General features: G+C 56.8%; 1 protein-coding gene across 54 annotated transcripts in view, besides 3 other annotated features; it reads left to right on the forward strand.

The window, feature by feature from the left end:
- ZNF185 (zinc finger protein 185 with LIM domain) overlaps positions 236 to 17223 on the forward strand; it is a 75415-nt gene continuing 58427 nt past the window's right edge. For 46 of the 54 annotated variants that reach the window (XM_017029821.2, XM_011531195.2, XM_017029828.2 and 43 more), the window contains exons 1-3: positions 236 to 407; positions 16614 to 16692; positions 16879 to 17002. In XM_017029821.2, the coding sequence (XP_016885310.1) occupies positions 16659 to 16692; positions 16879 to 17002 (158 nt within the window). In that variant the 5' untranslated portion in view covers positions 236 to 407; positions 16614 to 16658. Of the gene's footprint in view, positions 408 to 15971; positions 16031 to 16600; positions 16693 to 16878; positions 17003 to 17223 lie in introns of those variants that run through there. The other 8 variants (NM_001178106.1, NM_007150.3, NM_001178107.1 and 5 more) reach the window with 3 other exon arrangements.
- Positions 3857 to 4379: an enhancer, noted in NCBI's record as "H3K4me1 hESC enhancer chrX:152070232-152070754 (GRCh37/hg19 assembly coordinates)". NCBI's record gives its function as "activates a minimal SCP1, AML or CMV promoter by ChIP-STARR-seq in naive H9 embryonic stem cells {active_cell/tissue: H9 hESC(naive)}" and the evidence as "EXISTENCE:reporter gene assay evidence [ECO:0000049][PMID:30033119]".
- Positions 6254 to 6785: an enhancer, noted in NCBI's record as "H3K4me1 hESC enhancer chrX:152072629-152073160 (GRCh37/hg19 assembly coordinates)". NCBI's record gives its function as "activates a minimal SCP1, AML or CMV promoter by ChIP-STARR-seq in naive H9 embryonic stem cells {active_cell/tissue: H9 hESC(naive)}" and the evidence as "EXISTENCE:reporter gene assay evidence [ECO:0000049][PMID:30033119]".
- Positions 11871 to 11920: an enhancer, noted in NCBI's record as "active region_30028". NCBI's record gives its function as "activates an Ori minimal core promoter by ATAC-STARR-seq in GM12878 lymphoblastoid cells {active_cell/tissue: GM12878}" and the evidence as "EXISTENCE:reporter gene assay evidence [ECO:0000049][PMID:35858748]".

Below are 17223 nucleotides of genomic sequence, written 5' to 3' on the forward strand. Positions count from 1 at the left end.
CTCGCCCCGTGCTCGACAAGGGGAGCCCCAGACTTGATTTCTCCAGCAGCCCCGCGGGGCGGGGCCGAGAAGGGGCGGGCGGGCGGAGGACGCTGGCGGGAGAATGTGCGGAATGTGCCAGGCGCCTCTACCTACCCCAGGAGGGGCAGAGGAAGGGGCCGGCCGAGGGGAGGGGCGAGGGGCGAGGCTCCGGGCGGCCGGAGAAAACCTGTTTGTTCTCCTGCGGGCGGAGCCCAGTCCGCGCCTCCTCGCCTCCCTGCGCGCTCCCCGCTGTGCACCGCGCCCCGCGCCCCGCGCCTGCCTCCCCGGCCCGGCCCGGCCCGGCCGGGCGCCGTCCACCCGAGGGAGCCCGCGCCCTGCGACTGCCCGACCCTCCACCCGCCCCACGAGCCGGGCACCGGTGCCAGGTAGGGCTGTCGAGTCGCCATTGGATGCGGCCCTGCTTGGAGGCAGTGGGGGGCACCCAGTCCGTGCCCAGCTGGGGACAAGTCAGGGCCTCAGTTTCCCCATCCATAACCCTTACCAGCTCCAAGCATCTCTCTTCGGGTTCCCCCCGGGAGTCAGTGGATTTCTGGTTTTCGCTGTGAGTGAAAAGACTGACAGGCAGAGGAGGCCAGCGTCCCCTACAGAGGCAAGTGTCCCCCTTGCCAGCCTGATCCCTCTGTCTTGCCCTTTAGGAAAGACACGGTTTAATTGTTAGTAAACGGCGAGGGGCCAGGATGCTCTGAGAGTTGACTGCAGGCCTTTAAGAATCAGGGAATCTCATATCCCTCCGTCCCCCTGTGCCCATTTTATAGATGAGGAAACTGAGACCCAGAGGCTGGCTCACCCAGAGGATCCCCTCAATCGCCCTGGGGCCTGTGAGGTGCATGTGCTGGGTACAGGGCAATCTTGGGGAGGGCCATGAGGATGGTGGCTGCTCACACTCAGACAGAAGGCGCCGAATCAGGTGTCACTGGGTGTTATCGACAGGATCGGCACTGCACCAGCTCTGTGGCTGGATTGTTTTGATGGGGGCAGAGGGAGCCAAGAGTCTGTCCTCTTTGGAAAGGCAGAGGGATACCTTGCCTTACAAAAAGGCCGAAAGCTCAGGTGCTCCTGCCTGATCTGCCACTTCTGAGCTGGGGACACCTGGGTACTCTGTCGGTTTAAGGGGGTGACACGTCAAGCTGCCTCCCACCCAGGGCTGCTGGGGACTCAGATAAAGTAGGTGGTGGGTGTGTCCCGGCTTTGGGACATCTGAGGCATGGTAGGAGTTGTGTTCTTGCTGAGCCGTCGGCACGAAGCCTTGGCATCATGGGAGGCCCCAAAGCTGTGAGCCCCGAGAGAGGGCCTCTCACACCCCATCCAGCAGTGCTTGAGGCTTCAGTACCTGGACTAAGTCCTGCCTTGGTCTCATGGCCCTTCAGACTTCTGGCTGTCGTACCTGGCTGGGGGCGGGAGGCAGGGGTGCACAGGTTGATAGGCCTGAACAGAGCTGCAGAGGTCCTGCCTTCCCAGGGCCTCCGCTCCTCATCTGAAAAACAAGGGGCAGCTCAGAGGCCAGCAAGTGGCCAAGACACAGATGCACAGATGAGGGGCCAGCCTTCTGGCAGGCCTTGGTGCCTCCGCTGTTCCCCTCATCGCTCCCAGGCCACTTCAGGATGGGAAGGAACAGATCCCTCTCACCTGCCCCTCCTTCCAGCAATTCCCAGCCCCTGGCTGGATGCTGTGCATTCAGCCGTGTGGAGCTGATGGAAGGCACTCAGTGCAGGGCCAGACACGCAGCAGGTGCTCAAGATCTGTTCATTTCCATCCTCTGGACACTCATGACTCAAGCAACAGAGGTGGCCCAGGACCACTTAGGATGTTGCAGCTCCGAGTAGCATGAAAACATTAGGGGTTCCTCAGTCCTGGAGCAGCGAGGCACCCCTGGCTGGGAAGATCAGGGAAGGCTTCCTGGAGGCGAAGGGCTTGGAAGCAGGAGGAGGAGCTCGGCAGCCACCAGGTCAAGGCCCGCACGTCCTTTGGAGCTGCTGGAGTCTAACCTCCCCGTTACTCCTGAAAGATCATAAACCACTTCTTGCTGAGCTCCTGCATATGGGGGCCCACAGAGAAATCAGCTCCATGCCTTGCCCTGAGGAGTGACAGAGAGGCCATCTGTCAGTAAGAAGTTGCCATCTGAATCCAAATGGCAGCAGTGCTTGTCCACCTCACTTCCTGCTCAGCTCAAGTCCAGACTCCAGAAAAAGCCTTTCCCACGTGAGGCCAGTGATGCCAGGGGCAGCCAGCGCCTCAGCTCAGCCTCCCTCAGCCTGACTTGTGCTCCTTGTCTTCCTGCCCAGTGTCCCCAAGGCCTCCTGAGATCTGGCAGGGCAGGGACTCTGGGTCCCTAGCACTGGGCCCAGGACCTGGCCACGATAGGCATCGGCACTTGTTCCCTGAACTGTCTTCAGTTGCATGCCAAGCAAACTCCCCCAATTCTGGCTCGGTGCATTCTGGAAGCCAGAAGCCTGCCTTCCTCCTTCCCTACTCAAGCTTCCACAGGTGACTGCCCCCTTTGGTGCGGGTTTTGCTTCAAGCCACAACTTATAAGGTGCCAGGTCACATGTAACACAAGCTTTCCTTCTGTTGCTGAGCCCTGAGGCTGCCCCCACTGCCAGTCCCTGGCGGCATGGGACAGGACCAGTGCCAGAGAGGAGAGCTGCTCTCCAGTGCGGCAACCCCTTGCAGTCCGGGCCTTTGGGCTCTCATGTTTAGGGTCAGTCCAGGGACTTTGCATTCGTTACCACTGTGCCCATAGTGAACCGGCTGATGCCAAGACAAGGGCAGTGCCATCAGGGGACCAGTCCCTGAGAGATGCTCAGGAGAGGTTGCCATCATTGCTTCCAAAGGCCGGGAAGAGGAGGAGGGGCTGAACTGTCCCACACCTGGTCAGGTGTGTGGCAGGTGAGGGTGGCACCTTCATAGCCTAGTGGTTAAGAGAATGGCTCAGAGGTCAGCCTGGGTTCAAACCCCAGCTCAGCCACCATCCAGTTGTGCAAAGTTCGGCCCTTCATGCAACCCCTTGAGGCCTCTGTTTTCTCACCAGTACTGAAGGGTGGCTAAAGCCAGGAGCACCTGCTGCACTGGGTGCCTGCAAGTGCTAGGTTCCTGGCACAGAGGTGCTCTGTCACGGAAGGTAGCTGAGCCAGGACTATGGTGCCCTCCTTCAGGGCTGTGGTGGCAAGGAGTGAAGTGGGACTAGGTGGAGAGAGAGATGCTGACTGGGATGTGGGCCCCTACCTGAGGAAAACAGTTTAGAAATTACTGCTGATGATGCAAACAGTATCTACCCACATTTAAAGTGACTCACTAAAGAACACTTAATTCTTAGGGTGATTTCTCATGCCTACTAAAGTCTGACTCGCTTTCTTTTTTGTTTTCACTTTTTTTTTTTTTTTTTGTTAGAGCTGGGGTCTCGCCTTGTCACCCAGGCTGGTGTACAGTGGCTAGTCACAGGCATGATCATAGCACACCGCAGCCTCCAACTCCTGGGCTCAAGCGATCCTCGTGCCTCAGCCTCCCGAGTAGCTGGCACTACAGGCGAGTGCCACCATGCCAGCACTGTTGTTACTTTTTATCTTTAATTTTTTTTTTTTTTACCTTGAATTGATTTAAAACTCATAGAAAAGTTGTACGAATCGTGCAGAGAACTCCTGAAGCCTTATCTGAATTCCCGCTATTAACATTTTGCCACATTTCTCATTAGCTTTCTTCACTTGTAGCCTTTGGATGGGTCAGAGGGTGGGCAGGGCTGTTGTCAGTTCATTTTTCCAAAGGGAAACTGAGGCACAGAGAGGGACTTGCTCAAGTGCCATTGATTAGAAACTGAGCCAGATTAACTTCTCTCAGGGACACATATTGATGCATTTGGCAGGTGTTTTCTTGATCACTTTCTGTGTTGGGCGCTGGGGCACAGAAATGACTGAGAACTGACAGCAAAGTGGGAGGGACAGGTCTGAGTGGAGAAGAGACTGGAAAAGGAAAAGACAAGAGGCCCTGTGGGTATCACTCTCAATGTCGGAGGTGGAATGCAGGAAGGAATCTGCAGCTTAAGCGTGTCTCCCAGGGAATTTGACTGCCGAAGGGTCCCAGAGGCCACTTTCAGAAACACGGTCTAGGCTTTTCCTGTTGGGAGTGTGCTCATTTCTCACCTCAAAAGGGAGCTAGGAACTGGGAGGGTGCCTGCCTGGAGCAGGGAGGTGGGTCCAGGCCAGCCAAGAGAGCAATTCCTCACCCACTCATTAACGCCCGCTGAGCCATCCCTCTTCCCGCAGAGCTGCCCTTGGGGCTGCTGCTGCTGAGATGGCGGCAGAGCTCTGAAGCCACGCCCTGGGTCAGAGAGGAGACATAGCCTCTGGGGCCAGTGGGCAAGCCCTAGGCTGCTGGTGGTTGCTGGCGGTGGTCCCTGGCCTTGGCCCCATCTGTAGGCCCAGCTCGGGCACCCAGTCCGGGCCCCTTGGTCTAGTCCCTGTGATCTTTGGCTCAGCACGCCACTTTGTGATGACTAGGTCAGTTTCCCAGAGAGCTTGATGTGGCGAAGAGTTGCTATGGAGAGAGCAAGCACAAGGATTTTAATCACAAGAACCGGCATCCCTGGTGAAAATGCTTACATCAGGCAGTGCCTGCTTTAAACTGAAATAAAAATAAAAATAAAAATAAAACCCAAAACCCCAAACCAGGACTTGCTTCACCACTTGTGCCAGCGATCCCTTACTCATGCTTTCATTCCTTTGGGCCTGAGCCTGGGCACCTCCTTGGGAAATGCAGTGCTCTGGCAACATTCCGCTAGGCCGATCCCCCCAGCACCCAGCCTGGCGGTTAGGGCTCTGAAAATGCTTGTTGCATACATGGCAGTGTGATCCTGGGCAAGTGCTTTCTTCTCTCTGGACTTCCTTATTCTTATCCAAAAATAGGGGCAGTGTTAGAGGTAAGGGTGGGGTTGAGGGGACTCTGGGTCTAGAGTGGGCAGAAAGATGAGAAAGAGGGTTGTGGGAGGGGAGAAGGAGGATAGGGAGTCAGAGCTTTGGGGGAAGTGGGGAGGCAGCGGGCTCTTTCTGTTCCTTTTGCTCCTAACTAGTGATCACCTGCATCTAGGACAGAAGGAATTAGCTTTGGCTGATGTTAGTCAAGGGCAAGAAGGAGTGACTTCCTGTCACTGGCCTGCTCTGGCAAAGACTGAATGGATGGCAGCAGTGGTGTGTGTGTAGGCGGGGGTGTTCCTAGGGGAGAGCGAAAGAGGGTAAAAGAAAGTGGCCGAGTGCGGTGGCTCACGCCTGTAATCCCAGCACTTTGGGAGGCTGAGGTGGGTGGATCACTTGAGGTCAGGAGTTCGAGACCAGCCTGGCCAACATGGTGAAACCCCGTCTCTATCAAAAATACAAAAATTAGCCAGGTGTGGTGGCAGGCGTCTGTAATCCCGGCCACTAGGGAGGCTGAGGCAGGAGAATTGCTTGAACCTGGGAGGTGGAGGTTGCAGTGAGCCAAGACTATGCCACTGCTACTCCAGCCTGGGTGACAGAGCGAGACTCGTCTCAAAAAAAAAAAAAAAAAAAAAAAAAAAGAAAAGGAAAAAAAAGAAAGAAAGAAAGTAGGGGGAGAGGGAGAGGTGCTGTGGAGATTGGAGTGTGGGCTCCATGACCTCTGAGCCTCCTCTGATCTCACTGGCTGCCTTGTCTGCAAATGGGACTAGCATCTCTGCATGACTGGGATTGGCTGAAGACCACATTGGTTCCCTGGCTGCAGAGACAACTGCAGGATGAGGGGTACAGAAGCAGCCAGGGCCCTACAAGAGGGTCCCTGCCCAGCCCTCTGTTCTCCACAGAGACATCTCCAAGGGCCCTTGAAGCCAAGCCAGCCCTGAAATGGCCCAGTTCCCTGAACGGTCGCTTGTATCTGGCTCTCTGAGAACGAGAAAATGGGCGCATGAAAGCCAGGAGGAATCCCGAGGCCCCAAGGAGCGGTGGGTGGCCCAGCTGCCTTCTCCCCTCCTCCTCACCCCCAGCGCCCCACCACCTTGGGAAGGAGCTGGCCTGCCTTAAAAGTCTGCCTCCCAGGGCCCCTCCAGTGCAGACGCCGAGAAGTCTAGATGCTGGGGTGTTAGGGGTGGGATGGGGAGAGGTGAAATTCCAGACTTTCATGCAGAAGTCATTTACCTGTAAAGCACATTTACAAATACCACCCCCGCCATGCGTTCTTTTTCCATATTATATTTTCCCCTCTGCAACTCAAGTCTTTTTCAGCTCTTTTTTTTTCCACTTGCTGAGCCTTTTTCCTGCCACCCTGTTGGCCTCCAGGCGAGAGCCCCTGGGACTGGAGCATCCCAGGCAGGTCGTGCACTCTGGCTCTGGCAAGAGGGGCCCAGCCTAGGCCTCCTGGGAGCTGCACGCTGAGCAGCAGACTAGGAGGCTCAGACGGGATCCAGCTGCTCAGCCCTGCCCACGGTCCCTAAATCACCGTTGAAGTGCCCCATCCCCCTGGATCTCAGCAACTCCTGGAACAGCAGCTACAGCCGCTGCAGCGGTGCCTGTGGCGGTGCCTGCTCCATCCCCTTCCCAGAGGAAAGCAACCTGTCTGCTGACTGTTGCCTTGCCAGCTGCTGAGACTCCAGTGCAGGAGACTGGGAATCAGAATGTCCTGATTCACCAGACCTGGCCACAGGAGGCTGCTTCATCAAATGGAACGTTTCATCATTCCAACCCTTTTGGTCCAGAAAATCAGCACCCGCACCGGCTTAAATCAGCCTGGGTCCAAACTGAGTCAGCCAAGTGCGTGCCTTGAGAAAGGACGGGGTGAGGGCATCTGAGTGGGGGTGGAGGTGGTGCTTCCTGACTTTATAATTCCTCAGGCTTGTCCTTGCACTTCCCATGGCAGCCTCCAGGGGGAGTCTGTGCCACAGCCAAGGCTCTCCCCACTGCGCTAGGCTTTTGACCTTAGCCCCCTCCCCGGGAAGTATCATTGCTTGGGGTCCTGTGGCCTTGGTGATGACCGGAGGGGCTGCACTGAAGCCTACACCTTCCTCACACGACCAGGTGCAGGGGCCAGGGAGCATTTTGAGAATGGGGCTTCCTTAAGCCCATTCCCCCTCCCATGGGCACAGAGCATTCTCTTTTACCTCAAAGTTTAGAAGTGAAGGTCAGGGAGGGTGAGTGACGCGTCCAGTGACTAAAACCCAGGTCCTTGGACTCCTCGTCAGTACTCCTTCCTTTGCTCCAGAGTTGGAAGAGCCAGCATGGATGTGTGGCTTTGTGGCCTTGACCAAGCCCTCCACATCTCTGACGGCACCGCTGTGCCCGTCTCATGACATGACAGATGATAAGGCATGGCTGGCTCTGCGCCGGGGCCTCCTGAACATGTCATGCCCCTACTACCCTCTCAGCATCTGTTTCTGCTGCCCCATCTGGCTCAGGGCTGCAGTCTGGCCGCAGAGAGGGAAGCTCTCTAAGGAAGGAGAATGGGCTGGGAGAAGCCACCTGCTGCCCCTTGTTTAGCAGGCTGCATTCCCTAGCAAGCCAGCTCTGACTATCTCAGTGTCGCCCTTCTCCTGGTCACCCAGACCGCCCTGTTCCTGGGGCAGCTCATGACACTGCGAGGGGTTTGTGAAGGGTCTTTCGTGGGAGGGCCCTTACTCAGAGCTCACAGGCATTTGCTCGAAAGACAGCAAAAGAGGACCTAAGACATGGGGACTTTTCTTTGAGTCTTTTTCCTGACACTAGGTCCAGTGGAGGCTCTTTGCCCAAATGGAACATTTACAGTGAGAAATGGACAGGAGCCTCGACACCCCCACCCTATGCAGAATTTGACCTCCACCCCTATTTTACCAAGGCAAGCCCTCCAGCAAATGAAGCTGTCAGACAGGCTTGGGGGGGGGGCGGGGTCACAGCCTGGGAGGGAACTGCCTCCCTCTCACCCCTTGGTGCTGGTGCTGGTGGTCCCCAGGTTGAGTTGGACCAGAATGGAGGGGTGGAGGGACTCCCCTCCAGGGGACTCCCCTCCCCTCCAGGGACTCCCCTCCAGAGTCCCTCCCCTCCAGGGACTCCCCTCCAGGGGAGCTACCTGGGCTGGCTGGGCTCTGGGGCTTGGGCAGCCTGGAGCCTTGGGTTTGTAAAGCCCAACTCTGGCTCTTGTAGGAGGACTGGGGGGAAAGGTGTAGCAGCTGGGGTCACCCTTGCACATGTGTTTTTCCATGGTTTGGTCATTGCCACCCTTATCGAGTGGTAGGGAACCCAGACACCATGAGGGGAGAAAGGATTTGCCCAGGGCAGCAAAGCTGGGATGAGTCTCCTTCCCAGAGACCAGCCATCTTCTCTGAGGGTTCCAGCAGGCATGAGCCCCAGCAGGTATCTAAGCTGAGGGATCAGCACTGCCTGGGTCCGCCCATCTCTAGGAGCAAGTTCTTGGGAGACAAGGGAGTTATCCCTTCACCACTTACCTCATGACCAGATGGGAGTACTTATGTTTCTGCTGGAGTGATGGGGGCAGGCCTATGTGCTGGTCCCCAGCTATATTCTGGGCCTCTGCCTCCATTAAAGCTCCTTGTCCCAGAGCCACGTGAAAGTGCTTGCAGACAGAGCTTTCCTGAAACACAGCCAGAGGTTTCCTAAAACATAGCAATCAGCCTCTGCAGTGGGCAGCCCAAGTCTTGATGGCTTCATCCACTTGTACTTGACAGATCCATATTTGGTCCCTGTACTTGACTGCAGGGGCAGCACTCTGGGCTGTGTCCCCCTTCTTGCCCTGTCCAGCTGTTTCTTTATGCTGACTCCTGACCCACCCCAAAGGGGTCCACACAGATCTGAGCTGTGAGTGATCCCTGTGAGCCTAGCTGAGGTTGGCACACGTGGGGTGGCAGAGCTGGGTGTCTGCTCAGCTCCTGGATGCAAAGCATCCCAATTCACCTTTGGGAAAGAAGCCCTTCTGCTTGCACCTCTGCCTGTGGCACACCTGCTCCTGCTTGTGCATGGCGCCCAGTGCCCAGCACACATGCACTGAGACAAGCCCTGACACCTGTGCCCTCTGGCTGCATCTCATCCATGAGCAGCGATATTCAGTGCTCCGGGAAGGCAAGGCTGAAGGCGTTTTGCTCCCTTGCCCTCCCAGTTTGCTTAGGAGGCCCTGCCTGGCGTCCTACTTCCCTTCTGCACAGTTTGGGAGCCATCCTAATCCCCTGCGAGCCAGCTTCTCTGGGAGGTGCCGCCCTCGGGGAGTCAGGCAGCGGGGAAGTTCTACAAAACTTTCTCTGAGTTAGTCCTCTCATCTTGGAGGCTGAGCACGTCCTGTGGTGTGAGAGGGAGTCTTTTCTCCTGCCGCTCCCGTCTGTGTCCATCTCCTCACGCTCCAGCACCTGCGTCATTGCCTGCTGCCGCCCCCGCTCCTCCAGCGCACGGGAATCTGCATGCATCAGCCCCCTGCGTCAGCTCCCCTCTCACTCCACTCGCTGATGACACCAGGCTTGCTGTGGTCGGGATAACAGGCTCTGTTCAGCCACCTCATTGGCTCCTCGCTCCTATCTATCCAATCAGGGCCAGGGGCCCCTTCCTTCGAGGTTGCTGGGCAACCTTCAGAGGCCACAGAGGCAGGGAGAAAGGTAGAGCAGGAACATGCCCATGGGCATTTGGAGGCCATCTGAATTCAGGGAAGGCCTGTCCTCATCTCCCCCGCCCAGCCCTGCCAGGGACACTTCCTCAGATTGCCATCTCTCAGCCCACTTGGCCAGAGACAGGAAGAGGGAGAAAGAAGGGGATGAAGGGCGGGCCGGGGCATCTGCCTGGTGTCTGAGGTGGCCTGGCCTGTGCAAGAGGAGTTGGACTTGGCCCTGAACTGCCCTGGGACAGGCTGGTGTTGCCTGAGTACGGGGCTTTGCTCAGAGTCAGCACAGAGAGGGGTACTGTGGAGTGTGGCCACATCTTGTGGGGCTTCGGGGGTGCACCACGAGGGACAGTTCATGCAGAGGGTGTCAGAAAAGCCAACCATTCCTTTGGTGGCCCAGGCCAGGTCCTAAGCAGGATGATATGGAGATTTCCAAAAAACCAGAAGTCTTCTCCAAATCAAGGTAGAAATGAGGGCCATGGTACTGAAAAGGCCTAGAGTGGCTGTCCTGACCAGAAATGTGCCCACACAGGCCATCAAGACACCCGTGTCATGGCATGAGAGATCCAGAGAGGCACATGTTCTAGCTTGGTGTATCCTGTCAGGAAGAGACCCAGTGAGCAGGCCCACAGATGCCACCTTACAGATGAGGAGACCTAGACTCGGAGAGTGGGATGTCACAGCCATGTGAGGCCACTTAGGGAAGAGGAGCAGAGATGTAAGCACAGGCCACAGCCCATGGGGACAGTGTTTGCTTTTGGGTTGTGTGGCCTCTCTGGGTGTCAGGGCTAATGGACTTTGAAAGAAGCCTGAGTTCGCAGAGGAAGAGGAAGACTGGAAGACTTGGGCAGGTAGCAAGCCCCTGGCACCACTTTCAAAGGTGGCTAAGGAAGGAACATTTGCTCTCCATCTTCTTGGCAGGGTAAATGGGAAGGTGCAGGGAACCCCAGTTACAGCAGTTTCTTTTTCTTCAGGAACTTTTTCTGAGTCTTTCTCAGGCACAAGCCCAGAGGCATGAGAGAGCTTGACATACTGGACTCAGATGGAGAGTGAGAGTGTAGGGCTGCGGGAGTGGGTGGCCTGCTCCGTGGGGTCCTGGAGTCACATGTGGCAGGCCTCTGTGGCTGCATCAGGCCGAGCAGCACAGGCAGGCACGGTGCAGCTGGGTGAGTCTGAAGTGTCTCCTCCCTCCAGCGGGTGAGCATTGCTGCTGGGGCCCAGCGGTTTGGAGGAAGCCATAGAGGCGACTGGCAGTGGGTGTGCCCCAGGAGCACTCGAGGCCGTCGTGCATGGGCTTACCTGGGCCACTGCGTGGCTGGGACTCAGAGCCCTGGGAGTGTGGCCAGGGCCAGACACGGGCCCACTCCTGGCTGACTCTGCTGAAGGGGAAGCAGGAGCATTGGCACAGCTCTTGTGCGTGGGCTGCACACGGTACTGCTGGCCTTCTGAGACCTGATCCCAGGAGTGTGCATGCAGGGTGCCCGCCTGACACAGGGGTGGTGCTCCAGCAAGGGAAGCCAGTGTTGTTATTGCTTCCCAGAGGACGGCATGGTTCTCATCGCAGAGCGGAGCCCAGGCCACTGTCCCAGTGGTTGGGTCTTCTGGCCGCTTTGCTGGGACCTGGGTGCAGCCCTGGGGAGGGCTGGAGTCCTGCACACAGGCTCTGGAGGCTTCACTGGCTTCCCAAATGGGGTTCACATCCGCTAATGACTGCCCCGGAGAGCGGAGAGCTGAGGGTGGCCCTGGGGCAGCAGCCATGGTGGCCAGAGGGTTTATCTGCCAGGCCTCTGTGGTGGGTGCTCTCTCCCTGGGTAGACTGGGCCTTTCCCCCCACCCCCTGCTGCCACCCATATGAAAGCAGACATAGGCATCGCATGTCCACACCTGAGCCATAACCGGTCCCTGTACCAGGCTCTTCAGATATTCTGGACGTGAGCCTCGTGAGCAGGGAGTTGTCCTTGCCCCCTGGAGTACTTTGCTTTCTGTGGAGGTCCCTCTGGCTGACTTGCCATGGGCTGGGGAGCCAGGGCGGGATTGCGTGGGGTGGGAGAGGAGCCATCAGTGGGCCTCATGTGCCCTCCTGTCCCGTCATCTCTTCCCTGGGCCCCGTACATGTGTGAACGGAGAAGCCGGCCTCCTGCTTCCAGGGGTGCCACCGCCACTGCCACTGCCGCTGCAGCAACCTCTGTCTGGCATCCGGCCCGAAACACCCCTGCCTGCTCTCCGCTTCCTTCTCCACCCCAGCTTGTGGGAAAAGACGAAGGAGGCCCCGGGAAGAGGCCCAGGCTGCAGCACTGCGTGGCCCAAAGCAGTGCACAGCACAGCTGGGCCCCAGAGGCTGAGGGCCTGCCCTTGCTGCTGTGGGGATTTCCTCCTCGGAGTGAGCAAGCAAGAGAAGTCCCTGCATCTGTTCATTCTCCTCACCTCCCATCCTTCCTAGGCACTGCTTGCCTGGCATCAACTCTTTTTTTTTTTTTTTTTTTTTGAGATGGAGTCTCACTCTGCTGCCCAGGCTGGAGTGTAGTGATGCGATCTCAGCTCACTGCAACCTCCGCCTCCCAGGTTCAAGCAATTTTCCTACCTCAGCCTCCCAAGTAGCTGGTATTACAGGCACATGCCACCATGCCTGGTTAATTTTTGTATTTTTAGTAGAGATGGAGTTTCCCCATGTCGGCTAGGCTGGTCTTGAACTCCTGACCTCAGGTGATCCACCCACCTTGGCCTCCCACAATGCTGGGATTACAGGCATGAGCCACCACGTCCGGCCCTGGTATCAACTCTTGAGACTAATCCCTTGGCTGCTCAAGCATACTCCACTCGCACTTCATTTGGGTAAACCACCGTCGGGCTCATCTTTAGCACACAGAAGATACACGTTCATGACAGGAAAATTAGAAATACACAAAGGAGCAAAATATTTTGGTGTATATCTTTACAGATTTTTTCCCCTGTGCATTTTTATGTAAATATATTTTGACTTAGATGACACCATCATACACATCCTGCTTTACGGGCTGCTTTTCACTGAGTGATGTATAGAAACTGTACACAATACAGGTTTATAAAGCATGTTAAATACTACATGTCTCAGTATGATTTGTAATAGCTGCATAGTATTTGCTTGAATGGATAGATTACAATATGTTTAAATATGATTGATGGGCATGTAGATTATTGCCACATTTTCACCCCCATACTCAACACTGTGATGACACCTGTTTCATATACATCTTTGCTGTACTCGTGCAATTTCTTCCTCAGGCTACTTGGCTGCGAGGGGAATTACTGGACCAGCAGGCCTGCCCTTAAGCCTTTTGATACATACAGAAACTCATTCTGTCGAGATTCCTGGTTTCCCTTCCCACAAGAGCCACCAGGAAGCCACCTCTGGAGGGGTCCACATTCCATCCTTCAAGGCTGCTTACATCCGTAGCAAGGGTCTTCCTGGCTGTCACTGAGTGGAGGGCCACTCTGCCCTGCTCTCTGTGAAGGGCTGGACAAGGGGAGGGGACGGTGGATCTGGGAGGAGACCTGGGTCCGAGCAGGGGTAGGTGGCTTCAGGCAATCACTCCCTGGTGGGGTGTGCTGGGCTGTCACAGGGTGCCTGGGCTTGGTCCTTGCTGAGGTTGGGGGAGGAGCAGGGCTTGCCTGGGAAGACTTGGATCTGCAGGTCTGTGCCTGGCTGTGGGAGTTAGGGGAGGGGAGCACCCAGTAGGAGCAGGGCTGGCCTCGACGTGCCGGGCCCTGAGGGAGAAGCAGGGCTTAGCTCGGCGGAAGTTGGAAGGGCATTTCAGGTGGGCGGACCAGTATAAGCTAAGGCACAGGCATTCACTTGGCAGGGCTACCTTCCAGGGACTCCAAGGCACATGGTCTGCTTGGAGCACAGTGTCGGCATTGGGGGGAAAGAGGCTGGCTCAGGGGACTGGTGATTTTGCTCCCAGTCTTAGAAACAGTGTGGAACCATCAGGTGCTGACTGAGAATTGAAGGCTGATGTGGGCCAAGTGGGATTAGAGACCAATGAGTGTTGCCTGGAGGAGGTGCAGATAAAGGCAGCAGGCCAGGGACCAGGGAGGAGGTCTCAAGGGATCGTGGCCTAGACCAGGGCAAATTGGAGGGAGAAGTCAGCTCTGTAGATGGGATGTAGATTCCAACCTCATTTGCCCACCCCACCCACCCCACCCCGCCCCATCCCATCCCATCCCATCCCATCCCATCCCATCCCATCCCTCCCATCCCACCCCACTACATCTCATCCCATCCCATCCATCCCATCCCATCCCATCCCATCCCATCCCATCACATCCATCCCATCCCATCCCATCCCATCCATCTCATCCCATCCCATCCCATCCCATCCATCCCATCCCATTCCATCCATCCATCCCATCCCATCCATCCCATCCCATCCCATTCCATCCATCCATCCCATCCATCCCATCCCATCCCATTCATCCCATCCCATCCCATCCATCCCATCTGATCCGTCCATCCCATCCCATCCATCCCATCCCATCCATCCCATCTATCCCATCTGATCCGTCTATCCCATCCCATCCATCCCATCCATCCCACCCATCCCATCCCACCCCATCCCACTGCCTGACACTCATCACTTTAAAGGCTCCTTGTCCCAAAGAACTGCCTTACACTTCATCGTGTGGAAAGACTCTACTTTGGCAGAGATTTTTCTGACTCTTTCATATTTATTGTCTCATCAAAAAAGAAATTTCACTTGTGAGACTCAGCCAGGCGTGAGGGAAAGGAGCCCATGCAGAAGCACCAGCCCTGGTCTTTGTCTGGCAATAAACCCGGAGTCTTCTGACTGGAGTCTCAGCTATAAAGACGGGACTGAAGGCAGCATGGTGCCCTCTGCAGGGGACGGATGGTGTTCCCACCCAGCCCTGCCCTCCTTTGCCATGGGTCCCTCTGCCTCTGTCATTCTGCATGTGCAAAAGTGTCTGTCTTGACTTTGGAAGTGGCTTATTTGGTCCTGATTTGGCAGGAAACTTCTAGGCAATGTGGCCATCAGGTTTGACAAGGGGTAACTGATGAGTCCTTGTGCCTGGTACTGGGCCTGGGATGGAGTCCACCCCCGAAACTGTGGATGACCGTCACCTGCTTGCCACGCTCATATGTGGAAGCTGGTGGCTACAGTCCCTGAGGCCTTAGAAAGGAGTACGTCTTTGAGGTGCCCAGCGCAAAATAAGTCATACTAGCTAGTACAGCCTAGCAAGGTTAGAAGGAACCTAAAGACGAAAGACTAGGAGGTCCTCCTGCAGGTGAAAAGCTGAGGCCCAGATGAAGTGAGGAACTGTCCCAAGGTCTGTAGTCAGTCAGTGGCACCCAGAGACTCTGCACATGTGCCCTGCCCATGGGGCCACTCCACAGGTTGCTGGGATGGGGACAGTTAGGCCTGTATGGCCCTAGGAACACCTGTGGAGTGAGCGCCACTCAACAGAACTCTAACGTGGCAGCTTTGGTGCAGGGCTGGGCACGCGGGGCTCCCATTTGCAGTGATGAGGTGCCATTCCTGGCACACAGCAGGCTCGGGCTGTCTGGGCTGCTCGTTCAGTGCAGTTTATGGAAGAGCCAGCTCTTGCTGATGTGGCAAATTTGGTTTGCTCTCGTCCCCCTGCCCTGCCCATTTGAGTGTGCCCCTGACCTCCACAGAAACACATCCAGGCCCTGCCAGCTGGCAGCAGTGCTGAGCTGGTCAGACCCTAGCCCTGGAGGGGCCCAGGGGATGAAAGGCCCTGGAGAGAAAGGCTCTTCTGCTTTGTGACTATGCCAGCACAACCAGGGCCCTGCTTCCTGTCATGCCCACAAGCCTGAGCCCCCAGCCCCTATTTTGAGGCCCAAGGGTTCGGCTGTGGCCACTCAGGGCTCCCTGCAGCTCTGGGTCGCTCCCAGCCTGGAGAGCCAGCTTCATCACCCTGGGCCCTTCTCCGGAGCAAATGGCCCTCGAGACCACCACAGCTCACCCCTCATGGGCACGAGAGGGCAGCACTGGGCTCAAGGGCAGAGAGGCTGAAGGCAGTGTGGCACCGTCTGGGCAGCATGAGCAGCACCGGGCTCAGGGGTAGAGCAGGGCGAGAAGACACAGAGGAAGAGGAAGCAGAGCTCAAGGCAGCTGTGGGCCAGGGCGTAAGGAAGCCTAACTTACCACATTGCCACACTCGCCTGTTCCCTGAGGGCCACTAGGATTTGGCAGTGGGGCCCTGGGCTTTCCCCACTGAAGGTGGAGCCAACCCCCGAAGGAAACAGGGCTGCACACCCCAGACCATTCTTGGCGCTGTTTGAGGACCACCGCGCCTCTCCTAGCAGATGACTTGAGAGCTACTGCTGCTTGGCTCCTTTTCAGGTGGTGCCGGGTACTTATAGGAGCATCGGCGCATTCCATCCTCACAGCAGTCCTGAAAGGTAGAATTTTTTTTTTAACTATCATTTTACAAATGATGAAACTGAGGCAGCTCGGAGAGGTTAGCTGACCTGCCCAAGGTCTGTCAGAAAACTCCTAAGGGGTGAGAAGCAAGGTCCAACCCCAAAGCAGCTGGTCCCCCAGCCCGTCCCTCTCCACAGGCCATCTGCCTGCCCTGAAGCTGTTCGGCTTTGGATGCACTCTCTCCCACCCTCTGAGTCCACCAGTGCCAGCTGTCTTCCCCACACCCCCCAGCCTGAGCCAGGCTGTTAGCACTCTGTAGGAGGGCTCATGTTCTCCCGTTATCAGTGATCGCTTTGAACAGACAGTCCCTGGCAGCCCCTGAGCTCCACATTCTCTAGGTGAGCAGCCCTGGGCAGGCAGGTGGGTGTGCCGCTGGGCAGCAGCAGGTACAGTGAGTGCTGGCCCCCTGGCTTCTGCCCATACTTAGCACTCCACCAACGCTTGCCACCCCCGATGTGCAGAGGGCAGTCTGGATGATCTTGGTGTACCAGGACCCATATGGTCACCTGCAAGACACTACAAATGCATGAAGTGACAGCATTTGCTTACCTTTATCCCCAGAAGCCCTGCTGAATCAAGTGAGAGGAGAGCTGCGGAGCAATCACCATGAGTATCTCAGCTCTTGGAGGCCGCACCAAAGGTGAGGCCTGGGCTCCCTGGTTTCCCAGGCTCTGTTTGGGGCTGTTTGCTTCCAAGCCTGCCCCTACAGGCCACAAGCACTGTCCCAGCAGCAAAGGGAGAGCAGCATACTGGGAGAACTGGAAAGGAGGTCGAGGGTCCTGGGGCTGCATTCCTCTTCTGAGGCGGTTGGCTTTTCCCACCACAGGGAAGCCTCTGCCACCAGGCGAGGAGGAGCGCAATAACGTTCTCAAGCAGATGAAAGTGCGAACCACGCTGAAGGGGGACAAGAGCTGGATTACCAAGCAGGATGAATCGGAGGGTCGCACCATGTAAGGCAAGGAGGCGGGGAGGGACCGCAGCAACGTGGGGGCGCGCAATCCGTGGGGGACCGACCATACCTGGGGATGCGAAGGGGCTTCCACCATTCAGAGCTCCGCCAGGCCATGTGGAGGGCAGAGCGTGGGAAAGGCTATCCAGCAATGTCACAGGGTGGGAGAGCCCCTGGGTGCCTGGGAAGGAGAATGTGTGGCAGAAATGGCAGGACTTGCTG

Source organism: Homo sapiens, chromosome X (assembly GCF_000001405.40).
Source record: "Homo sapiens chromosome X, GRCh38.p14 Primary Assembly".
Taxonomy (NCBI): domain Eukaryota; kingdom Metazoa; phylum Chordata; class Mammalia; order Primates; family Hominidae; genus Homo; species Homo sapiens.